Source organism: Homo sapiens, chromosome 1 (assembly GCF_000001405.40).
Source record: "Homo sapiens chromosome 1, GRCh38.p14 Primary Assembly".
NCBI lineage: Eukaryota > Metazoa > Chordata > Mammalia > Primates > Hominidae > Homo > Homo sapiens.
The window spans coordinates 147,993,620-148,015,301 of NC_000001.11; the positions used below are offsets into that span (position 1 = coordinate 147,993,620).

At 44.1% G+C, this 21,682-nt stretch overlaps 1 protein-coding gene and 3 pseudogenes across 6 annotated transcripts in view, besides 2 other annotated features; 2 read left to right on the forward strand and 2 right to left on the reverse strand.

Moving 5' to 3' along the window:
- GPR89B (G protein-coupled receptor 89B) overlaps positions 1–21,682 on the forward strand; it is a 97,515-nt gene that overhangs the window by 65,200 nt on the left and 10,633 nt on the right. The window contains exons 16-18 of one of the 5 annotated variants that reach the window (NR_183758.1): positions 14,838–15,036; positions 15,912–15,994; positions 17,793–18,048. The exons of the other annotated variants lie outside the window; for them this stretch is intronic. The gene's annotated coding sequence lies outside the window, so the exon portion shown is untranslated. The remainder of the gene's footprint in view (positions 1–14,837; positions 15,037–15,911; positions 15,995–17,792; positions 18,049–21,682) is intronic. 5 annotated transcript variants of the gene reach the window in all.
- Positions 243–21,337, reverse strand: PDZK1P1 (PDZ domain containing 1 pseudogene 1; annotated as a pseudogene). The gene is made up of 10 exons (NR_111936.1): positions 21,227–21,337; positions 16,839–17,000; positions 16,518–16,649; positions 15,724–15,973; positions 11,754–11,890; positions 10,168–10,363; positions 7,700–7,896; positions 2,969–3,128; positions 1,977–2,267; positions 243–735 (listed from the first exon to the last, which is right to left on the reverse strand). The product of NR_111936.1 is annotated as a PDZ domain containing 1 pseudogene 1 (transcript).
- Positions 17,440–17,510, forward strand: TRR-CCT6-2 (tRNA-Arg (anticodon CCT) 6-2; annotated as a pseudogene).
- Positions 19,535–20,246: an enhancer, noted in NCBI's record as "H3K4me1 hESC enhancer chr1:145943675-145944386 (GRCh37/hg19 assembly coordinates)". NCBI's record gives its function as "activates a minimal SCP1, AML or CMV promoter by ChIP-STARR-seq in naive H9 embryonic stem cells {active_cell/tissue: H9 hESC(naive)}" and the evidence as "EXISTENCE:reporter gene assay evidence [ECO:0000049][PMID:30033119]".
- Positions 20,247–20,958: an enhancer, noted in NCBI's record as "H3K4me1 hESC enhancer chr1:145944387-145945098 (GRCh37/hg19 assembly coordinates)". NCBI's record gives its function as "activates a minimal SCP1, AML or CMV promoter by ChIP-STARR-seq in primed H9 embryonic stem cells {active_cell/tissue: H9 hESC(primed)}" and the evidence as "EXISTENCE:reporter gene assay evidence [ECO:0000049][PMID:30033119]".
- Positions 20,798–20,964, reverse strand: RNU1-129P (RNA, U1 small nuclear 129, pseudogene; annotated as a pseudogene).

Here is a 21,682-nt window from a genome sequence, read left to right on the forward strand (position 1 = left end):
CCCCTCACGCTGTGGGGTGAAACCGTGAATAACTTAACTGGGGGAATAAGTCACTTGTGAAAGGGAAATGTTGAAAAATTTTTAGAACACTCAGACATGCAATTTAAGAAAATTCTGAATTTTATTACTAAGGTCTTATTCTGTACTTTATTGTGTTTTGGGTTTCTAGAGGCAAATGAAGGTTAAAGCATAAAAAGTGAATCCAAAACAAAAGCACTATCAAGCATACTCAAAAGGCATTTGTTAATGGTATTTATTCTAGCAACCACAACATTGTTACAAAAGCACAATTTTAATAGGCTTATCTGCTAAGATGCTTTTATAAGCAGCTGTCACCTATACAGAGTTATGAATCATCTTTGGTGCTCAAGGAACCTGTAGAAGTAAGAGACATCATCATACAGAGAAATGTAGTTAAGTTGAAGCTTGGAAAAGATCACATGAAAAAAATCTAGCTCTTGCCTTATCTCTTCCTAAGTTAAGCATAAATTAGCCGTCTGCAATAGCCGCCTGTAAGACAAATGATAACAGAAGACAATCACACATGGTGAATGGTTTCCAGTGGAGTTTTTCTTCTAAAGAGACAGTAAACAGGTCGCAACTCATTCTTTGAGAAAGGATTCCTATTAAATACCCAGAAACAGCTATCAAATAAACAGCCAAAGCTATTACTTGTTTTCATCACATCTCTGTATCTTCAGAATTGGAAGAAGAATGTGAGGCTGTACTGTGGGCCTGTGTATAAGAAAACAAAGAATTTACAAATGGTAGAGTAATGAAAGAGGGATGATCTATTCTAGAGTTGCATGACTTAAGTCGGGGAGTAGAGTCACTCACTAGAATTTCTTTCTTTCACAGCATGCAGTTGACAGCAATTGTGTAGAGCTGATAAATCAAGTAAAAAGTTTATCAGTATTGTAATGGGAACCCCCAGAAGAGCCTGAATCAGATGATCTAGGTATGACTAGAAGTCAGGTGACCTGAATTCTACACTTGATTGTTTTCAACTTGCTGTTTGACACATTAACAAATTCCTTAATGTCTGTGTATATTTCTTTTGTATAAGACTAGGATATTGACTTCCTAAAGAGAAATTACAGAATTTTTAAATGACAACTAATACAACTAATAGTATTTATTAAGCATTCCTGAATACAAATCAGTGGGCATTGTGTGTGTTCATTAAACTGAGTTTATTAAAATGAATATTCCACCCATTAGCAGAATTAATATAATGGAAAGAAGAACAACATTGAATTAAACTTTTTTAGAGTCTCGGCTTTGCTATAAATTTCCTTTATGAACTTGGATAAGTCAGTTTACTTTTGGACCTCAAGTTCATCCAGGAAAAATTGGGCAAAAATATAAAACTGAGACTTACCAAGAAATTTAATCCAAATATATAGAGAATAATATAGAGAATGCTTAATCTTTCCTAGTAATAAAACTGGAATACCTGTCAATTGTTTTAAACAATATTGTCTTTAACCGTCACCACTTACATGCTCACTATGAGCCAGCCACTATTCAAAGCACTTTAATATAGTTAATCTTAGTTAACATGATCCTGATAACAATCCTACAAATTATTCCTGTTTTATGGGTGGGAAAACTGAGGAACAGAACAAATAAATCCATTTCCCCACAGCTGACAAATGACAGAACCAGAATTCATATCTAGATCATCCGATTCAGGCTCTTTTGGGGGTTCCCATTACAATACTGATAAACTTTTTACTTCTTGATTTATTAGCTCTAGACAGTTGCTGTCAGCTGCATGCTATGAAAGTAAGAAATTTGTTGTTCTTATACTGCCTCCTGTCCTCTACAATAACTTGATTTGTTAGTTATCTTTACATTGTCATTTTCTAGTTTTAAAAAAAATCTGTGGCAAACATAGACATTAAATATACTCATAGGGACTGTACCCATACTCTAGTAAATTAGATCATGAAAAGAAATAGGCCCCCACTCACCCGTTCTTTTGCCATGTGCGAGTCATGCTTTGACTCCACCACTATTCCTTCTTTAGAATCTGGAGGGGTGTCAAGTGGATCAGCCAGGGAGGAAACAATAGGGATTTTCTTAGCTTGGAAATAATCATAGGCCTTCTTTCCACAGACTAGAAGTGTGACATTCTTCCCACTGCTCTGGATTCTATCCACCACCTTCTCATAGGGTTCATCTAGCACATTCACCCCATTCACTTCAATGATGACATCCTCATCCTCTAGCCCAGCCAAGTCAGCAGGACCGCCCTTCTGTACCTGTGAACAGAAGTTCTGAGTTATCAATTTCAAACAGAGAAGGGGACATCAGACTAGCTCTCCTTAAGAGGATAGATGAGGAGCTCAAGAATTTATTTTTAATCATGTTATTATTTCTCCTTGAGGTATAGAAGTTGAGAAAGGTGTTCTAATGCTTTTATATTTATGAAGGCTATAACTTCCATATTCACATGATTAGTGGTATTATAAATAGTGGTTCAGCGTCATATGTCTTCTGGGATGAAGGGGGATAAATAGGTCCCCCTTCTTCACTCCCAACTTGAAAGCTATAGGGATTCTTATCAGTCCCTACAGGGTAAGGGGCATTATGCCAAATGCACAGAAGCAAACAAATATGACTGCCAATCAGGGTTGATAGTGACTGTCAACTAGAGTTCAGTCAACTCACACTGTTTGGAACAGATGTTTGGGAAACAAACAAACGTGAGCTTATGATGTACTGGTAGCTAACCTAAAGGGTGTGGGACCATGACAACATTTATCTGAACCCAAGTGAGACCCCTCAGTGTGTGCCTTCAATGGAACCTCTCTACTAAGCCATCAATGGGTGGGAAAAGCTGAGACTATCCTAATTGTGGCTGTGTTTGTTGGGCTGCTGGAACCAGATTACCATACCTCTTTGATGAATGAGCCTGGCAGACCCCGAATCGCATTTAAGTGAAAGCCATAGCCATTTTCACCTTTAGCCAGCCTGCAGAGTTTAGGCTTATGATCTTCTTCCTCTGTAGTATCTGGTGGACTTGAGACTTCCAGAGAAGTGGGAGTAGGAGCTGGAGCCTCCTTGACAGAGCCATTGGGCAGTTCTTGACTTTGATAGTAGAGAAATGGAGAAAAATGAGCCTTTTGAAAAATAAAGGGAAAAAACATTAACTTAGTTGTAACCATGAGTAAGTTATACTTTGTTAAATGTGCTGATTTTTAAGGTATCATACATATTCCACTCTTCTTCTGGATGTGTCTGATTGTAGGCTGTAAAATTCCTCTACTACCCCAACCAGGAAAGGTATAAAAGAAGACTGTGCTTCGTTATGGAGTAATATGTGTATACATGTACACAAATGCACACATGAACATAAAAGCAGTATAGGATGCGGTACAAGGATCCCAAAAGAAGTCTAAAAAATTGCTAGTTTCTTTTGAGTTCATGATAGTGAGCAAGTCACTGAACAAGCTATACATAATCTCCCTGTTGGGAAATGACATATCTGACTGACTAGCCGGTACCTCATGCAGAGTACATTCTTCTGGCTTTTCCTTTCGGTAAGATGGTCTTCAGAGCTCCTTAAACACATTAGAAAAAGTAAAACACAAGACACTTGTGATAGTTAATTTTAGATGCCAACTTGACTGGATTAAGGAATACCTAGAAGCCCGGTAAAGCATTATTTTGGTGTGTGTCTGTGAAGGTGGTTCCAGAGGGGATTAGCATGCGAGTCTGAGTGAACTACAGAAAAGGCAAAGGTGTCAGTCTGTCTGCTAGAGCTGGGATACACTCTTCCTCTCCTGTGCTTGGACATCAGAATTCCTGGTTCTCCGGCCTTTGGACTCTAAGATCTACAGCCGCAGCCCCCCAGATTCTCAGGCCAAATGCACAGAAGCAAACAAGTAGGACTGCCAATCAGGGGTGATGCCAGTAATGTGGCTCAGTCAGATTTGGACGGAGCCACACTACTGGCATCCCAGGGTCTCAAGCTTGAAGACAGCCTGTCGTGGGGCTTCTCAGCCTCCATAATCACACAAGCCAATTCCCCTAATTAATCTCCTCTCATACCTGTATCTATATCCTACTAGATCTGTCTCTCTGGAGAATGTTAATATAACACTATTTTTATCACTATCCAAAGATTCAAAGCTACTAGAAGAGACCAACCCATATACACAGTAATAATTGGTGAGAGGGTGACAGCTGTTATATGGTCACATATTGTAACAAAAGTTAATTCCAACCCTTTGCTGCTTGCCAATACCCTCCCCTTCCAGACCTGGGATCTGCGCTTATTTATTTTGCTATGTATTGTTGTAAGCATTAGCTGTCACTTCTATTATGCCAAACTCTCCAACATCTTTAAATACTCCTAATTCATATCAACTCCCAGCCCATCCATGTGAAGAAATGATGATCTTGAATACCGAAGAGGCATAGAACAGGAAACAGGATTGATTTTTTTGTAATAGAATTACAAGCCTAACTGGCTGTTTTAGTTGAGACAATTAGAAGGGTGGACCTGGGTATGGTGTGATCCTGGATCAGCAGCTAAATGGCTGCCCACACGTGTCCGGAACATTTGTTAGGTGATGAGTAGGAAATCAAGCAATGGAAGGTGAGCACAGTGTGGGCTCTACTTCAAATCGCACTGTTTAGCAGCCTGACTAAAATTAGATTTTTAGTCCTCTGGTTATCATGTGTCTTACTAACCACAAGACCACATCTCCTTCCTTTCTAAGTGAGAATACCACCAGCACAGAACCTCCTAGTTACCCAGTTCAACTAACTTCAGACCTTTCAGTCATATACTTGCAACAGTTCCACAATGGAGCCTTTCTCTTTAAAATATGGAAAATTATCAGGTGACTCATTACATGCAAAAATACGTCTGATAACACTACCCAAACAAGCAAACCAACTGTATCTGACAGTCGCAGCTCATCTCGAGGCAAAGTGCAATAACATTTAAAACACTTGAGATTTTGGCCGGGCTTGGTGGCTCATGCCTGAAATCCCAGCACTTTGGGAGTACAAGGTGGGCGGATCACTTGAGGTCAGGAGTTCGAGACCAGCCTGGCCAAAATGGTGAAACCTCATTCTCTACTAAAAATATAAAAATTAGCCAGGTGTGGTAGCACACACCTGTAGTCCCAGCTACTCGAGAGACTGAGGCAGGAGACTCACTTGAACCTGGGAGGCAGAGGTTCCAGTGAGCTGAGAACATACCATTGCACTCCAGCTTGGACAACAGCGGGAGACTCTGTCTCAAAAAAAAAAAAAAAAAAAAATGAGATTTTATTCATGCTTCATTCAGATAATTGGGTGTCTAGTATGTGCCAGGGACTGCTAGAGGGTTGTGTTTTACTCACTGATGTATCTCAAAGATCTACCCTCCACCCCAACCTACAGGTCTTACTTTGGAGAGCGGGGAAGGAGGTGATGAGGGCAGGCTTCTTTTTCGATCAAAGTTCTCTATTAACCAAAACAGAAAAATTACAATTAAATCATTCTATGATAAGATCAGGAGGGGTCAGAATCCCCTTTACAACAAACAGCTGCAGCAGCCGCCTCTGATTTCTGCTTGACTTTCCACCAACTGCAAAATGACTCATCATTTCTGGCAGCTTCAGTTGGTTCTTAAGCCAAAAGCTATCTCCCTATGGCTTCTCTGGTCCTGTTGTGCCCCATAGGACACCTTAAAAAAAAATGTGTGGCCCGGGCGTGTTGGCTTATACCTGTAATCCCAGCACTTTGGGAGGCCGAGGCGGGCGGATCACAAGGTCAGGAGATCGAGACCATCCTGGCCAACATGGTAAAACTACTAAAATACAAAAAATTAGCTGGGCATGGTGGTGCGCACCTGTAATTCCAGCTACTCAGGAGGCTGAGGCAGGGGAATCGCTTGAACCCGGGAGGTGGAGATTGCAGTGAGCTGAGATGGCACCACTGCACTCCAGCCTGGTGACAGAGCAAGACAACGTCTCAAAAAAAAAAAAAAAAGTGTGCTCCTTCTTACATGTAATAGCCTTTCAAATTCTTGAAGATGCCCTCTTCTCCAAAGCCTTACTCAAGCTAAATACTCACATGGTGGCTTCCAAAACCTCTTCCCTGGTTACCCTTGTCATTGCCTTCTTAAAGTGAAGTTCTTGAAACCGGACACAATATTGATTGAACAAATAGAACATTTAGATGTGTGAGGCATTATTCTACATGCTCTGAATATTCCAATTCAACCCTCATAGCCACCCTTCACTGTAGCTACTACCCCTCTCTTACAACTAAGGAAACTGAAGCACAGAGAGAGGTGGTAACTATATTACCAGGAATTCCAAGTATGGTCTGACCAAGTAAGTACAGTAAGATGGTCATCTCTAGAAGCCAAGTGTCAGTTAATTTTTAAATTACCATATTTGGATGGGACAACCACTTGGACTATCAAGTTTCTGGTCTTTTTCTGTAGTCCTCAAATCAGGTCTCACCATGTGGTATTCATACAATTTACTTTTAGGTTAGTATAGTACATCTGAAATTTATTCTTATTTCTTTAGTTTTCATTCTTTCTATCCTAACTAAATATTTTGAGTATTAATTACACCATCCAGCAAATGAATTATCTAGTGCCACTTTAAGTATGTTAATATATTTTCCATATCTCCTTTCAACTTTAAGCACATAAACGGTTAGGAACAAGTAGCATGCCATTAGAGACTTCTATTCAAGTTGATATTCAGGTTGATATCAAGTATTTTCTAGGTATGATTGTTCAAGTAGCTAAAAAAAAAGCCATTAATCTAATTAATTGTTTAATCCTGCTTACAAGATTATCTTGAAAAAATGTGCTGGGGAGTATGGTATAATGAATTACAGGTCCAAGAATTTGGGTTCAGATACCACCTTCAGTCTTTACTAAGCTGCGTGACTTTAGCAAAGTGCTTAGTCTCTCTAAGCTTCGGTTTCCTAATCTATGAGGAGGGCCTAAGATATCACCACCCATCATATTCCCCCCTCTGTACCGCTTATTTTAGATTCTACTATCATTGTATATCACAGAGGACATTTATCTTGTTCATCTTTACAATCAACACTTAGCAAGACAGATGGTACTTAGAAGGCCCCCCAGGTATCTGTTAAACTAGACAACCTCAGTTCTTGTGTTAAAAGTAAAAAAAAAAAAAAAAAAAACAACAACAAAAAAACCTTAAAACATGCAGTAGTGGGTGTTATGATAAAGAGCTGTTAAGAGAAAATAAAGTTAGTTTGATTCAGGTTGGTCTTGGTCTATCTGTGTTTCTTTTTTATTTGCTAAGGGCTTACAAGTTGTTTAATAATCCTTTCTAGGCTTTTATGTGCAGTTGATAGCACTTAACTGACCTAAAGCTTAAAATCTAATTGTTTCCTATTTTGGGAACAATTTTATTTCCAGGCTTATATTCTCCATAGATTTTCTCAGATCACCAAGAGTAAGCCTGCAGTTATATTCACAAATTCTTTCAAAATCTTAAGACCAAGGACTTAAAACTCATTTATCAATCATTTGGCATTCTCTTATCACTACCAATTTGAGTTGAGCTTCAGTTTAGCCTTAATGATGATTGTTATGCCTCTTCCAGTTTGAGGAACAAAGTCCTAACTCAGTGCAAAAGTTGAGGTCATGAGTGAATGGGCCCAGCCTTAATGCATGAATATATGGCCTTGTATTACTTACCAGTCTGTACATGTTGTCCGTCTCTTTGTCTACCACCAACAGTGAAGTCTGATCTCCACCCTTTCTAATCATTTCTACCACACTGTCATGATCCAGGGTTTCCACAGACTCGCCGTTGACAGCAACTACCAGATCATTGTTCTTCAAGCCAGCCTCCTCTGCTGGACTTCCAGAATCTATGTCCTTGATGATTTGACCTACCCTCCCCCAACCCCAAAAAATAAAATTATCAGTAAGTCCCCTAAAAAAATAAAACAGATTTTCTGCTGGAGCCCAAAGCCCTGATGAAATAGATAAAAAAGGCATGCTGAGTACAACTACCACCCCTTCCACCAGCATCCCAGGAAGCTTATAAGCACACTATCTAGGCTCGTTTCCTGCTCAGAACTCACCCCAGAAACTAACCCAGCAATTAACAATGAAGGGGTCTTAACGAAAATAATCCTGTTACTAAAAGCATCTGACATTTGATTTTGGCAAAATAGCATATTAAAAGGCTGCAAGTTCCCAGAAAGTCAGTGGGCATACTTGTAGCCACGCGTCTTATGTAAAAGCTGTCATAAAAGATGGGGAAGAATAAAGAACAAAACCCAAAACTTTGGACCTTAAGAAACCCATGCTGGCATTTTAGTAGCAATTGGGTGTGTTCGGTTTTGAATATATTTGTATATACATGCCTCCAGGTGCCTTTGGCCTTCTGGTATCTTCACCAGATGCTGCTTTTTTTTTTTTTTTTTTAACAAGTTCCTGTTTCACTTTTCCAGCTAGCTGCTGGGTATCTCCAACAAAATATCTCATAGATCTCTCAACTGTAATGTATTCAAACCAAAAATCAGCTCTGCCCATTCTCCATCCCAAAGCCCCTCCTCTTGGTTACCTGTTAGTGGAGCAACATCATCCCAGTCACCAACACTTGGCAACTGATTTTTCCCCAGCATCCAGTCCCCATATCTAGACGATTGCTAAGTCCTCTGATGCTACCATAATACCTTACACATCCCACTTCTTCTACCCTGAATGCAGTTTGTATTAGTTCCTGCCTAGAATTCTACCTAAACTATTACAGCACCTTACCTACTGCTTTCCCTTCCCCAGTCCTTCTGTCTGATACAGATCTGCCTTCAGATCCATCTTGATGCACATTCCTAACCAAGTCACTTCCTGGTGCAACAGAATGAGCATGGGCTTTGGAACTAAACAACTATTTGACCTTACATAATTACTGTATCTTCTCCAAGCCCTCAATTTCAGCAGTTCTTCTTGCGTAATTGTTAGGAGTAATTGAGATGTGCAAAGCCCCCAAGACATTATAGGCTGGTTTTTGTTCTTCTCCCTTATACTGCTCAAAAAACAACTCCCCATTGTCTGATAAGCCAAGTTCAAACTCATCAGTCTTGCATAGAAGTACCCTTGTCACTTCTCTCCAACCTACCTTTCCAACGAATTCTTGTACTACACATCATGTGCCAATTAAACTGTGCCAGTGTCTCCTGACTGTGTTCACATGACTCCCACCTTCCTGGAATGATCTTCCTTATCCCAGCTCTGTCTACTTTCCCAAATCTATTCATGTTACAAAGCCTGAACTCAAGTGCCACCCCTACTATGAGGGCTTCTGGTACCTTTTTAGTGAGAAAAGCTTACTCTAACGTTGAATTATCACAGTGCTTGATCTGCCCCTGTATGAAGGTACTTAACCTCTATCTCCCTTCATTATGGACATATGTCTCTTATCTACTAAATGGTAGACTCCTTGACTAAAGAATTCCTGTCTGCTTCATATGATATTCTTTCTCCAAGGCACTGAGGATGTTTTTACAAAACACAAACCAAATTAATATTTGATAAATTAATGTAAACAGAGAGTGAAAAGAAAATAACAACTTATGGGCGAATAGCAGTTTATACGGCCTGAACTCATGTTCTTTTATGTATTTACCTTCCCTGAAAGAACCTAGTGTTCTTCCTATTGAGTTGCAAGGAAGGAGGACTCCTGGTTCTGAGTCCCAAATCCTCACCCACACCTCGGCCTCAGGTCCAGCGGTGTGCTATACTGGCTCACACCGGCTCACAAAAGCCAATTCTGTGCAACACTTCATTGTGTTCAGTGACATCGTGTTAGTAAGTTGAAATTGGACATGGGAGGAGTATTTACATCACAAAATACTACCAATTTGGTACCAAAAACAAACGCTACCAATTTGGATTTCCCCCTACCCCCGCCCCAGAGAGCTAACTTACCAGGATACCGTTGCCCAGATCCCAAATTCTGCCTTATCATAATGCTGTGGAAACTTTTGATGCCCAACATCAGACCCTCATGTGACATAGACGCTGACCCAGCTGTGCCTTCTATGCTATGCCGCTCATGCATCTGGCTGGGAGTTGGGAACCTAATGGAACTCTGGAGTCAGAATGGGATGAGGAATTTGCTGGTTACTGCCAAGTTTCCTGCTCTTGTACCTTACCTTTCTGTTCTGAGCCTGCCCTCAGATAGAAACCATAGCCATTGCTTCCTTTCTTCATCTCCACAATTCGGGGCTGGTGGGGTAACAGTTTCAAACTGGCTGTTTCTCTTTTGAATTGTATCTTCTGCTCAACATGACGCTTGTCAGTTTCTTTGTCCACCAGCAGGAACATGACACGGCTTCCTGACTTCTTCACCTGTAACAACACACACAGATGAGGAATGACATCAACCCCCAAGAACAATGCTGGGGAATAAGAAAGTTTCTGTATAAAGGCACACAGTCTCTAGGTTCAACAAAAGATAGGGGATGAAAGGCCTGAGTTTAAGCTGTTACACTATGCCCTACCAGCTAACTGATATGTATTTATCGCCTTTTTTTTTTTTTTGAGATGGAGTGTCACTCTTTCGCCCAGGCTGGAGTGCAGTGGCACTATCTCAGCTCACTGCAAGCTCTGCCTCCCGGGTTCACGCCATTCTCCTGCCTCAGCCTCCCGAGTACCTGGGACTACAGGCGCCCGCCACCGCACCTGGCTAATTTTTTTTTTTTTTTGTATTTTTAGTAGAGACGGTGTTTCACCGTGTTAGCCAGGATGGTCTCGATCTCCTGACCTCGTGATCCACCCGCCTCGGCCTCCCAAAGTGCTGGGATTACAGGCGTGAGCCACCGCGCCCGGCCCCTATCTCCACTTCTATAGTTGTTTTCCCTTATTTAAGTATGACCTACCCACATAGGTGCTAACTGAGCCCAAGTAGGAGCTGGAATTCAGAAAACCCATAAAGGTACCTAGATAAAAGCTAGAAAGGGAGTTTGGAAAAGAAAAGAAAGTAAGGGTCCACGTCAAAAAATCATTCTACAAAGAGAAGGTTGGTCAATTTTTAAGGTTCCATATGACCTCAAAGGAAAATCTCGGTTATCTCCCACTTCCTATTAAAGCATTTCAGTATTAACGGCTCAACAGTGAACTTATTGTAAATTCAGAGGGCGCAGTGGCACACGCCCATAATCCCAGCACTTTGGGAGGCCAAGGCGGGCAGATCACTTGAGCTCAGGAGTTCAAGACCAGCCTGGCCAACATAGTGAGACCCTATCTCTACAAAACACACACACACACACACACACACACACACACACACACATAAAAATTAGCCAGGTGCGGTGGTGCACACCTGTAGTCCCAGCTACTCAGGAAGCTGAGGTAGAAGAATCATCTGAGCCCAGGAGGCCGAGACTGCAATGAGCCGAGATTGTGCCACTACACTCCAGCCTGGGTAACAGAGTGAGACCCTGTCTCAATCAAACAGTTCAGAGGGGGCTCCCAATCAGATACAAACAAGATCCAAAAGGTAAAGTTAATAATTTTGTAGACCTCATGTGAAACTAGGGAAGGCTTTATTCCAAAACCCTATATTAACACTGCTTATACCACTAGTGTGAGTCTGTTCACCCTTAATATGAAGGGGCAACTCAACTGGATATTTTTTCCATCATAAACTCATGCTGTCCCCTACCACCCCTGTCTTCCTGTCACCTCCAATGAGAATAGAGTGGAAGATAGGGTAAGAAAAGTACCCTTTGGGGCATACCTTTTCAACCACTTCCTCATGGCTGGCATCCTCTACATTCTCTCCATTCACTTCAATCAAGTGATCATCAGCCAGAACTCCAGCTCTCATAGCCACACCTTGAGGTGTAATATCAGTCATGTATACCCCCTTTTTACCTGGAAGAGAGTAGGGGTAAACTCCATGTGGAGACACAAGTGACTCCCTCTTGGATGGTAATCTGTGATGTTGACTTCTGATTAGCCCCAGTCCTGTGATTGCCTCCCGATTCCTACTTCATTTACTGTCCCTAGTCTAAGAACATGTCAACCTTAATGTTATCACACAAATTATAGGCTATGATGCACTATAGCATTCTTGGCTATTGCAGAGGGCTGCCTTCGATTGTCTTGCTGGAGCACATATACCCTTTCCCTATGGTATATCAGCCTTGGGTCTGGGGAGTAACACAGAGATCTACATGTTTTGTGGCTGTCCAAGACCATGCTTCTGTTCGTAAGTTCCCCTGATAAATTCCAATGTACCAACAAACTGGATTTGCCTGCCTTGTCCTTTGGTTTCTCAGCTCCTTTGGCCTTTGAGGGACTGCTTTGCTTACACCACCCTTTCACAGAACACTCCATTGCAAAGAAAAACTCGAAATCCAATGGTAAAGACTTTTCTCCCAATAATGTGAAACAAACTTCCGATTTTAGAGCTAACTCGGCCTTTGGCTTCTGATCTAAAATCACAGTTATAGCTCCTGACACTGAACTTGACACAGCCTTTACTCAGTGGGTATTTGTTGATTTGAATAGAATTTCTGAGGTCAGCTAAATGCAAAGATGGAATCTTGGGTGGCCTTGGCCCCTTGCACCAGAAAGCGCTAAAACATGCCCACACTGCATTATTGTGTCATACGCCCTTTCTTTGCATTTGTAGAATCAGAAAGCATCTTTACCATTCTCTCCTCTTCAGTTTGTACTATTATATTAGCCATCGTATGCTGCGGAGTCATCTCACCAATGTAGGCTAACAAGGACAGGCACAGGAGGGAGGGAAGAACCCGAATGCATTTAGGTGGTGAGATTTAGGTGCTACTTACAGAAATGCTGTCAATTCTTCAAAGATATTAATAGAGCAGTTCCCCCTTAACCATGGGGGATACATTCCAAGACCCCCAGTGGAGGCCTGAAACTTTAAGATAGTATACCGAACCCTATATGTTTTTTCCTGTGCTTACATACCTACGATAGAGTTTAACTTATAAATTAGGCACAGTAAGAGATTAACAATAACTGAGCTAATCTTAGCAACCTCAGCATACAGTATTTTTTCTTTCCTTATTAAATCGAGAACTTTTCACTTAATAGAAGCACTTTACAGCCTTTTTTTTTTTTTTAACAGATGGAGTCTTGCTCTGTCACCTAGGCTGGAACGCAGGGCCGCAATCTTGGCTCACAGCAACCTCTGCCTCCCCGGTTCAAGCGATTCTTCTGCCTCAGCCTCTCGAGTAGCTGGGACTACAGGCGCCTGCCACCGCGCCTGGCTAATTTTTGTATTTTTAGTAGAGATGGGGTTTCGCCATGTTGGCCAGGCTTGTCTCGAACTCCTGACCTCAGGTAATCCACTCGCCTCGCACTCTCAAAGCGCTAGGATTACAGATATGAGCCACTGTGCCCAGCCACTTTACAGCTTCTCTTTGTCATATCTGAACTGCCAGCATCACTATCGTTGCATTTTTGGCTTTTTTTTTTTTTTTTGAGACGGAGTCTTGCTTTATCGCCCAGCCTGGAGTGCAGTGGCGCAATCTGAGCTCACTGCAACCTCCGCCTCCCGGGTTCACACCATTCTCCTGCCTCAGCCTCCTGAGTAGCTGGAACTACAGGCGCCCACCACCACACCCGGCTAATTTTTTGTATTTTTAGTAGAGACAGGGTTTCACCGTGTTAGCCAGGATGGTCTCGATCTCCTGACCTTAAGATCCGCCTGCCTCGGCCTCCCAAAGTGCTGGGATTACAGGCGTGAGCCACTGCGCCCGGCCTGAGCTATTATTTTTTATTGATACATAACATTTGTACATATTTATAGGGTGTGTGTCATATTTTGATACCAAGAGCATATGATGAACAAATCAGGGTGTAATATTTAGGACATCCATCCTTGAACATTTATCATTTCTTTGTGTTGAGAATATTTCAAATCTTCTTACAGCTATTTTGAAATGTACAATACATTGTTGTTAACTACAGTCACCCCACTGTGCTATCAAACATTAGAACTTATTCCTTCTCTCTGTGGGTTTGTACCCATTAACCTAGCTCTCTTCATCCCCACCCTACCCCACACACATACCCTTCCCAGCTGCTGGTATCTCTCATTCTACTCTCTACCTCCATGAGATTCACCTTTTTTAGCTCCCACATATGAGAATATGTGATATTTTTCTTTCTGTGCTGGGCCATTATTAAGCAAAATAAGGATTATTTGAACACAGTACTTTAATACCGTGACAGTTGACCTGGTAACTGAGTAGTAAGTAGTAAGACTAACAGGCAGGTAAGCACATGCCACGTGGAGATGCTAGACAAACAGAGGATTCACGTCCAAGACGGGGCAGGACAGCACAAGATTTCATTACACTACTCATAATGGTTCACAATGCAAAAATTATGTATGGAATTTTCCATTTAATATTTTCAGACCACAGTTGCCTGCAGGTAAGGTAACTGAAACTATGGAAAGCCAAACAGGATAAGGGGGGACTCTTGTATGTCAACCTAGGCAAGGGATCGCTTGCTAATGACTACATAAATCACTTGTAAGGAATGACAGTAACTTAAACTCTGCTTCCTTAAACACTCAGCATTTCTCCTGCTACCTTGTTATATATTTGTCATGAAGAGACCATTTTCCTCATAAAGCTAACCTAAACCATTCACCATGTGCATTAGCACACGAGCCAGATGAGTAGAATCTGAATTATGATTTTCTTTTTTTTACCACTTTACTGATAATAGGCTTCTAAGACGTGCCAAGCTTCCTTTGACTATACACACCACTGTGTTTAATAACTGACAGACCTGAGAAATACCCCTTATCGTGAGTTTACATCTCTTGGTACAGGTTAAATAAGCCTTAGAAACTATTTTAAATTTACCACTGGTCTGCTGCTGTATCACTTGCCAAATCATGACCTACCACCAGTGCTTCTCCAGCCCCAGAAAGAACATAGGCAGAGGCAGTGTTCAAGAAGGAATCGACCAGCTAACACAGCTCCTCTGGTTCCAACCAATACCCCAGAGCCACGGTCAACTGAACACAGGTTAGTCTGCACCTCTGAAATTCTAGAAATAGAACTTCTGGTACTTCCTGATGGTCAGGGTTTCTCAAATCACTATGTACCTCTTAGCCAGAGCTCAAAGATGCACCTCAGAACAGGTGGGGCTGAGCTGCAGCTGAGGATACTATCAAAATGTTACAGGAGGGTGGAAATTTTTGCGGTATTCTCAGCAAAGGTAACAGTGCCTGGCACATCAGCAGGTGCTCAAGAATTTGTTGAATAAGTGAATGACTATCTGGGCACTCAGATAAAAAAAAAAGATACCAATCTTACTCAAAAATAGCTATTATGAAGAATCTCATTTTTCTTGCCTTTTATTCCTTATTCTGCCCTTCATTTTCACCCTAAGAGGGCTAGAAGCATCAACCCTCTGGCCCCCTGACCTCAAAGAGTCCTCAAGTGTCAGCCTGACAAACACTCAGGGACAGGAGTACCCAGTGCCCCCCACCCCCACTGCTGTCCAGTGTCCCTCCCCCATTGCACAACTGTGCAAGGCAAGGGAAAGGGCAGGGAGGGAGTGAGAGACGGAGGGAGGCAAGCTGTTGCAAGCTATCTATAGCAACTGAAAAGTCAGTCGAAGAAAAGTCATTAACCAGTAGCATCTTTGTTCTGGAAGCCTGTTGTCTGTGCCCTGCCCCTGCCTCCCCCTGCTCCCCAAAAAATTCTCACCTTGGACAGTTTTCAGAGAGAAGCCATGGCTGCCTCCCTCCTTCACGAGATAGCAGAGCCGGGGCTGGGTCCAAGTTTGCACACCTCCATTCATCACAGGGGAAAGTATATTATCACTCAAACCTTGCTCCTTCTGACTTTGACCCAACTCTTTCAAGTCCACCCGTGTTTTCACTGCTTTCTCATAGGAATCCCCATCCAGAACTAGTAAAGTCACTGAATTCCCACTCTTTCTGACCAGATCCACAACCTAGGAGGGAAGAAGAAAAAGGTAACTTTAATAACCCTCTGCCAACTGCCAGAGGGAAATGCTGACCATCTGGCTCAATATCTGGCCCTGGAGATGCTGCTAGTTGACCCTTGACACCCAAGTAGAAGCAGGTAGTTCCTCAGCCACCTCCATCCCTGCCCTCCCAAGATCCAGGTGCAGATTAGCTGAGCTTCTGGCACTGCTGGAATATAGAGTGTGGTTCAACCCCAGCCCAGAGGGTTCTTACAAGACTGGTCCTTTCTAGAGAGGATAAGAACACAGGCCGCTAAGAAAGGTATGTAAGCTCGGGAGGGAGGAAAGAAAGGGGAAGGGGGCTAGAGGAGATTCGGACATGAGATGCATTCACCCTATGAGTTAAACCCCAGTCTCCAGCATGGGAGTTGACAATTCCATTACTGAACCATCAGTGTTCCATGTAGTATAACCTCTCATGGGTTTAAAAAAAAAAAAAAAACTCTAGTGTTATAAGCAGGCATGAAGGGGCAGGGGGGATGGGGGTGGGAATGTTCTATAATAGGCTTACACAGATGTCTTTGGAAAACAGAGCTAACAAAGCAACAGGCACTTAGAGAAAAGGCTTGTCCTAAACCTTCTGTTGTTTGCCAAGGGAAGAAATCTTGGAGTGAAATTTTCACTTTCTCTCTTGTGCAGATCTCTGTAAGACACAAAAGTTTGGAAGACAGTCATTTTGATCCTTGACTTTTCTAGAGACTCAAAAGACGCATCTGAGGAGAAAAGCTCTGGGTCCCTGGAATGACCGTGCCACTCAACATGCCTCCTGGAGTGGCCAAAGAGAGTGTAGTTAAGAAAAGAAATATTGGAGTGAACTTTCACTCACTCTCACCTTTGTAGGTTTCTCAAAAACATATGAATTTAGAAGCAAGATACTTGGCTTTTTCACATGACTCAAAAGAGGTGTAGAGGAAGAGAAGCTCCATCATCCCACAGATCTTCCAGGGTAACCTGGACACATCCCTAAATCTCCAGCTCCTGGGTCTTTGAAAGCCTGTTTAGGGAAAGAATTTGTGATTGTCTCAAGGTTGAGAGGAAAGAGTTTGGGAAACACCAAGGCATGGGTTGGCAAAAAGATTACATCATCAGTGAGGAAATGAAATTTCCAGAGGTTTTTGCCAGATCTGGGACCAGAGACAAAGGCCTGGATGAATTTCCTGTGTATTTCCATAGAGGTCTGTTATCTAGTTGTATAGAGCCTGTTTCACAATTAGGCTCTTTCAAATCTGGTATGTTGATTTAAATGCCATTATAAATAACTTGATAATGTTGCCTGACATACGTCTCCTATGCAAGGCTTTGCTCTGGGTGTCCTTTCTGTTTGCTCGGTGTGTCTACTCAAGAGTCCTATACAAATCTATTTTAGAAACACTGCTTCAAAGTCCTTCCAGAGACTCTTCAAAATTAGATCTAGTGAAACCGCACTCAGTGGAGCATTGGTAGTTCAGCGGTGGCATTCTCCCCACCTACGCGGGAGACCTGGGTTCAACTCCCGGCCAAAGCAGGCCTTCTTACCCTTCATGCTCCAAGTTCATGCTTGAAGGGCTATTACATTTCTAGCCAACAAAGTTATTGTACTACACAGGCTGTACAGCATTTAGGGGCCTTGAGTCGTGGTGGCTGGAAGCTAAACCTGCCACCTCTGGAATATTCTCTGTGCTGGATCTAATCTTGAAATTACATTTCCTCTGCTCAAAGCCTGTCTTTGAAAGTGGGGGTGTTTCCGGTGGTTTGCTGCAGTTTGGAGTACTGGGAACTAAATAAAGCCTTTGCTACTTTCATCTAGTCTCCGGGCACACCCCTGAGTAATCCAAAGGCCATCAGACGGATTCTCGTGCTGGACTTTCCCCTACCTTAGGCCACATCTCACTATGGAGTGAGGATCAAGAAGTAAAGGTCTGGGAAGGAGAGAGCTGCAGGGGCCAGGGAGACTCTTCGTGAGTCGGAGAGCCATCAGCGGCCCAAGGAAAAGGGAGGATCGTGGGGAGACGAGGGGAGCAGTGGAGATGAGGGGAGCAGCGGAGACAGAGTCTCACGCACAGGTATGCCCAGACACCCTGAACCCAGTTACTTAACCTCGTCAACCACTGTGGCATCCGCGGGGTCCGTGGGCCCATGGGTCTTCCGGGAGGGATTCTGTGTCCCTGTTATTGTGTGTCAATAGGTGTTAGCCTGATATTTATATTTTTAATGAGAGAAAACAAACTCCAGAATTTGGGAACTGTTTTTCCGGTTTTGCTTTATACCTCTTGGACACTCCTTCGAAGGACTGGATCTGAGGGGCATTGGGGTGCGACTACGGTGGACAAGGGATGATTAATTTTCATCCAAAAATCTTTGGTGGATTCCCCCGGCTCTCCAGCTCACCAGTCTAACAGTAGTTTAAAACAGAAGATCAGCAACGTTTGGAGAGTTTTTTTTTCTTTGCGTTTTAATGATAAACTTGATTTATTCAATTCTATTCTGAGGTTGTCTTTCTATATTTTGAGTATAAAACGATGGCCATACTATGTTGGAACCACTAAGGTTCTTCTCTTCACTTGTTATTCGTAAAGTCTCTTTGTAATCTGAGAATTTCCTGAGTAAACTGGGAACTGTTATACATAATTCCTTGTTTTTGAGCATTCTTTGTAAACAGGAATCAGGATTGGGGGTGGGGAGGGAGGGAGGAGTAGGAGTGCTGATTTGTGTAACGGAAAATCATGGATTACTTATGTGATGGAGCAAAGGTTTAAAAACTCTTAGCGTCCCCGGATTTCCCCTTTTACTGTTTGCTGAAGAAAATTCTGTCTTTGACTCCCTTCCTTACCCTCTCCTGGCCTGTGAGCTGCTTCCTCCCTATTCAGTTTATTTCCTCCTCCCCTCCCCGCCCCACTCCCCCACCCCCGCAGCCCCCTCCTCTTTTTCAGTGAAGCTGCTGGAGGAAAGTCGGGTTTGGGAGAAGACCCACACAGGCAAGGACAGCAGAACACTGACATATAGTTACACTCTTGTCGCCAGCACTGTCATTAAGATGTTGTGAAAAGACAAAGACAAAAGAGGAGAGGAAAGAATAATATCTCCGTTTCAGGAGATATTCCACAATATTCCAGGATGTTGTGCCTACTGTCCAGAGTCCTTGATCCGATGTAGTAAAGAGCTAGGGACATTTTCACTGAAGGCTTTGATTGCTGGCAAAATCTCATTAAAAGTGTATACATTGATAGGTTGGCCACAGAATGGCCAAAGAAGAGCCTCTGGCCTACATCTGCCAAGATATATGTGTAAGAATACACTCTGCAGCATTATTTTTTATTGTAAAATAGCAGAACGAATTTATTATTCAATAATTATAAAATGTTCAAATGTATGTGACTATATTCGGACAATGAAAAATGCAGCTGTTAAAAATAGACAATACTGATGATTCAGATGATGTTACTGATGAAAATAATAACAGATGACAATTATTGAGCATTTATGCAATCTTACATGCATTACCTTATTTAAAGTTCAGAACAACTAAGGAAATGAGTAACTTGGGGCGGGCGTGAGAGGTTTGGAGGCACAAAAGGAAGATAGGCATTCAAGGGACACCAGGATAGAAGAGCCACAGTAGAAGAGAGAGGAAGAGGAGTCCGCCAGGTGGGATGCTGCAAGCCGCTGGATAGCACGGCGGAGATAGGGCGTTCCTGCCCCGCAAGCCTCCCTGCGACCGCAGGCCTCCGGCCGCCTTCTTCCAGGAAGACGCGCCCTGCTTTCTTCTGATGTTGGTAGAGACGCTGCAAAGCGCATCGTCCTCGAGCATTTCTTCTCTCCCCAAGACCCTCCGAAGGAGCATTTCTTCTCTCCCCAAGACCCTCCGAAGGAAGGATGGGCGGACAGACTAAGTGGTCAAACGCGCAGAGCTCCAGCTTCCGCAGGAGCATTTCCCGAGTGTCTTTCATGGGTAAGAGTGGGCCCTGCAGGATAATGCCTCCCGTTCCCTGAGGAGCAGTGCGGGAGATGCCCATGTGGCCAGCTCCTGGGCCACGCGACCCAGGCCCTCCAGGAGGAGCGAGGAGTCCTGGGCCCTGAGCCAGCCCCCTGGACCGGCTGTGCCAAGAGAAGCAGCAAGGGAAGGGGTCCCCTCCTGCCTCAGGGTCTCTGTCCTCCTGGGGTTAAGAGACGTGCATCCAACTCCCTCTCCAAGTGCTGGAGAGGAGGCTAGGTCTTTCCCACGGGCTGGGGGCCTTGCTGTCCCAAGGACGGCTGGGGAGGAGGAGGAGGCCGGTTGAGATATGTGAAGCAGCTCTGGCTACAGCGGGTAGGGAGAGGGCGCGCGGGACCCAGGAGCCTCCGTGCGGAGCCAGGCCTCAGGAGCAGCCGCCTTGTTCCTGGAAGGGGTGCCTCCCTCCATCTTGTCTCCAAAGACTGTAGGGAGACCTTCTCGCCCGGTAGGAAAGCGACGTCTCCCATGCTTTCCCACCACGCAGGCCTTGTGGCCTTTCTCCTGCTAGTGTCTGCCCTCCAACCTGCGGGGGCTGCGGCTGCCACGGTTCCACGCTGGGTGGACGCTGCCTGCCCGGGATCCAAGAGCCGCCGTTGCAGGCGGGAGTTGGGGAGTCGTGTGCAGGTCCGAAGGAGACCCAAGCTCTTGGTCAAGGCTTTTTTGCTATAGCCAAATTCAGCGTGTAAAAGACAGAGAGCTCACATCTGTCTGTTCGTAAGCTTCGGTGAGAACACCAAGGAAGCGCACTCAAGATTCGTAGGAGGGCGGGAAGGGTCCCTGGCGGCGATATCCACATCGGCGGTGAGCCAAGGCATGTCAGGAGAGTGAGTGCGCGAACCCAGCCGCCGGATAGCGCAAACACCACCGCGGACGAGGGCCCCGCATGTGGAGAAATCGCAGGGGTCAGCGGAGCCGAAGTGTGGTGGACTAGCCTCCTCCAGGGAGAACCCCCTTCCTGACCACTGTATGTCCCCCGCCACATAAGGGGAGAGGAGGGACAGCACAGCCTACTCTCCCCTGGCCGACGATCAGGGTCACCACCTTCTCCTCTGCTCTCCCCTCGCCATTCTTCCAAACCACCCTCCGCCAAAGATTCCACGGACAGTCACCCTCCCAACAACCCAGGCCTCCTTTCAGCAGCGGCTCCCGCCCCACAGCCACCGCGCCCTCTCACCCCCGCGGTTCTGCCCGCCGCCTCTGCCGAGTCTGTGCACTTCACCTCCCTGGGTCCCGCTCCCCCCTGAGCTTACAGTGGACGAGGGGCAGGACGGGGGGAAGGCCATTCGGCTGCCCTTCTAGCTTCAGAATCACCCAGTGAACGGGTTTCAACCGTAGCCGGCAAGATGCGCCTCTCCGGTTTTCCGAGGCTTTGGAACCTGCACAATTGTTCTGCAAAAGACGGTGGCTCCGCCTAGCATTGGATGGGCGCTTGCTCTGCATGGTGATGCCGGAGCGAGGGTCGACTGTCCGTATGTCGCAGTCGGGTGGTGTGCTTGCTTCCAAGTCTGGAGTTGGCTGGTTCAAGCTCGTTCTACTGAGCGTTTCTTGCATTTTAAAAATGCTTAAACCGCTGGCAACTTTCTTCTACCCAGCACATTCTCTCATGGAATGGCAGAGCAAGACCAACTTTACCCGCCTCTCCTCCGTGTCTCCCATACGACATGAGGACGTAAATCAAGGTCCGCTAGGATTCTAGGATCTCTCTC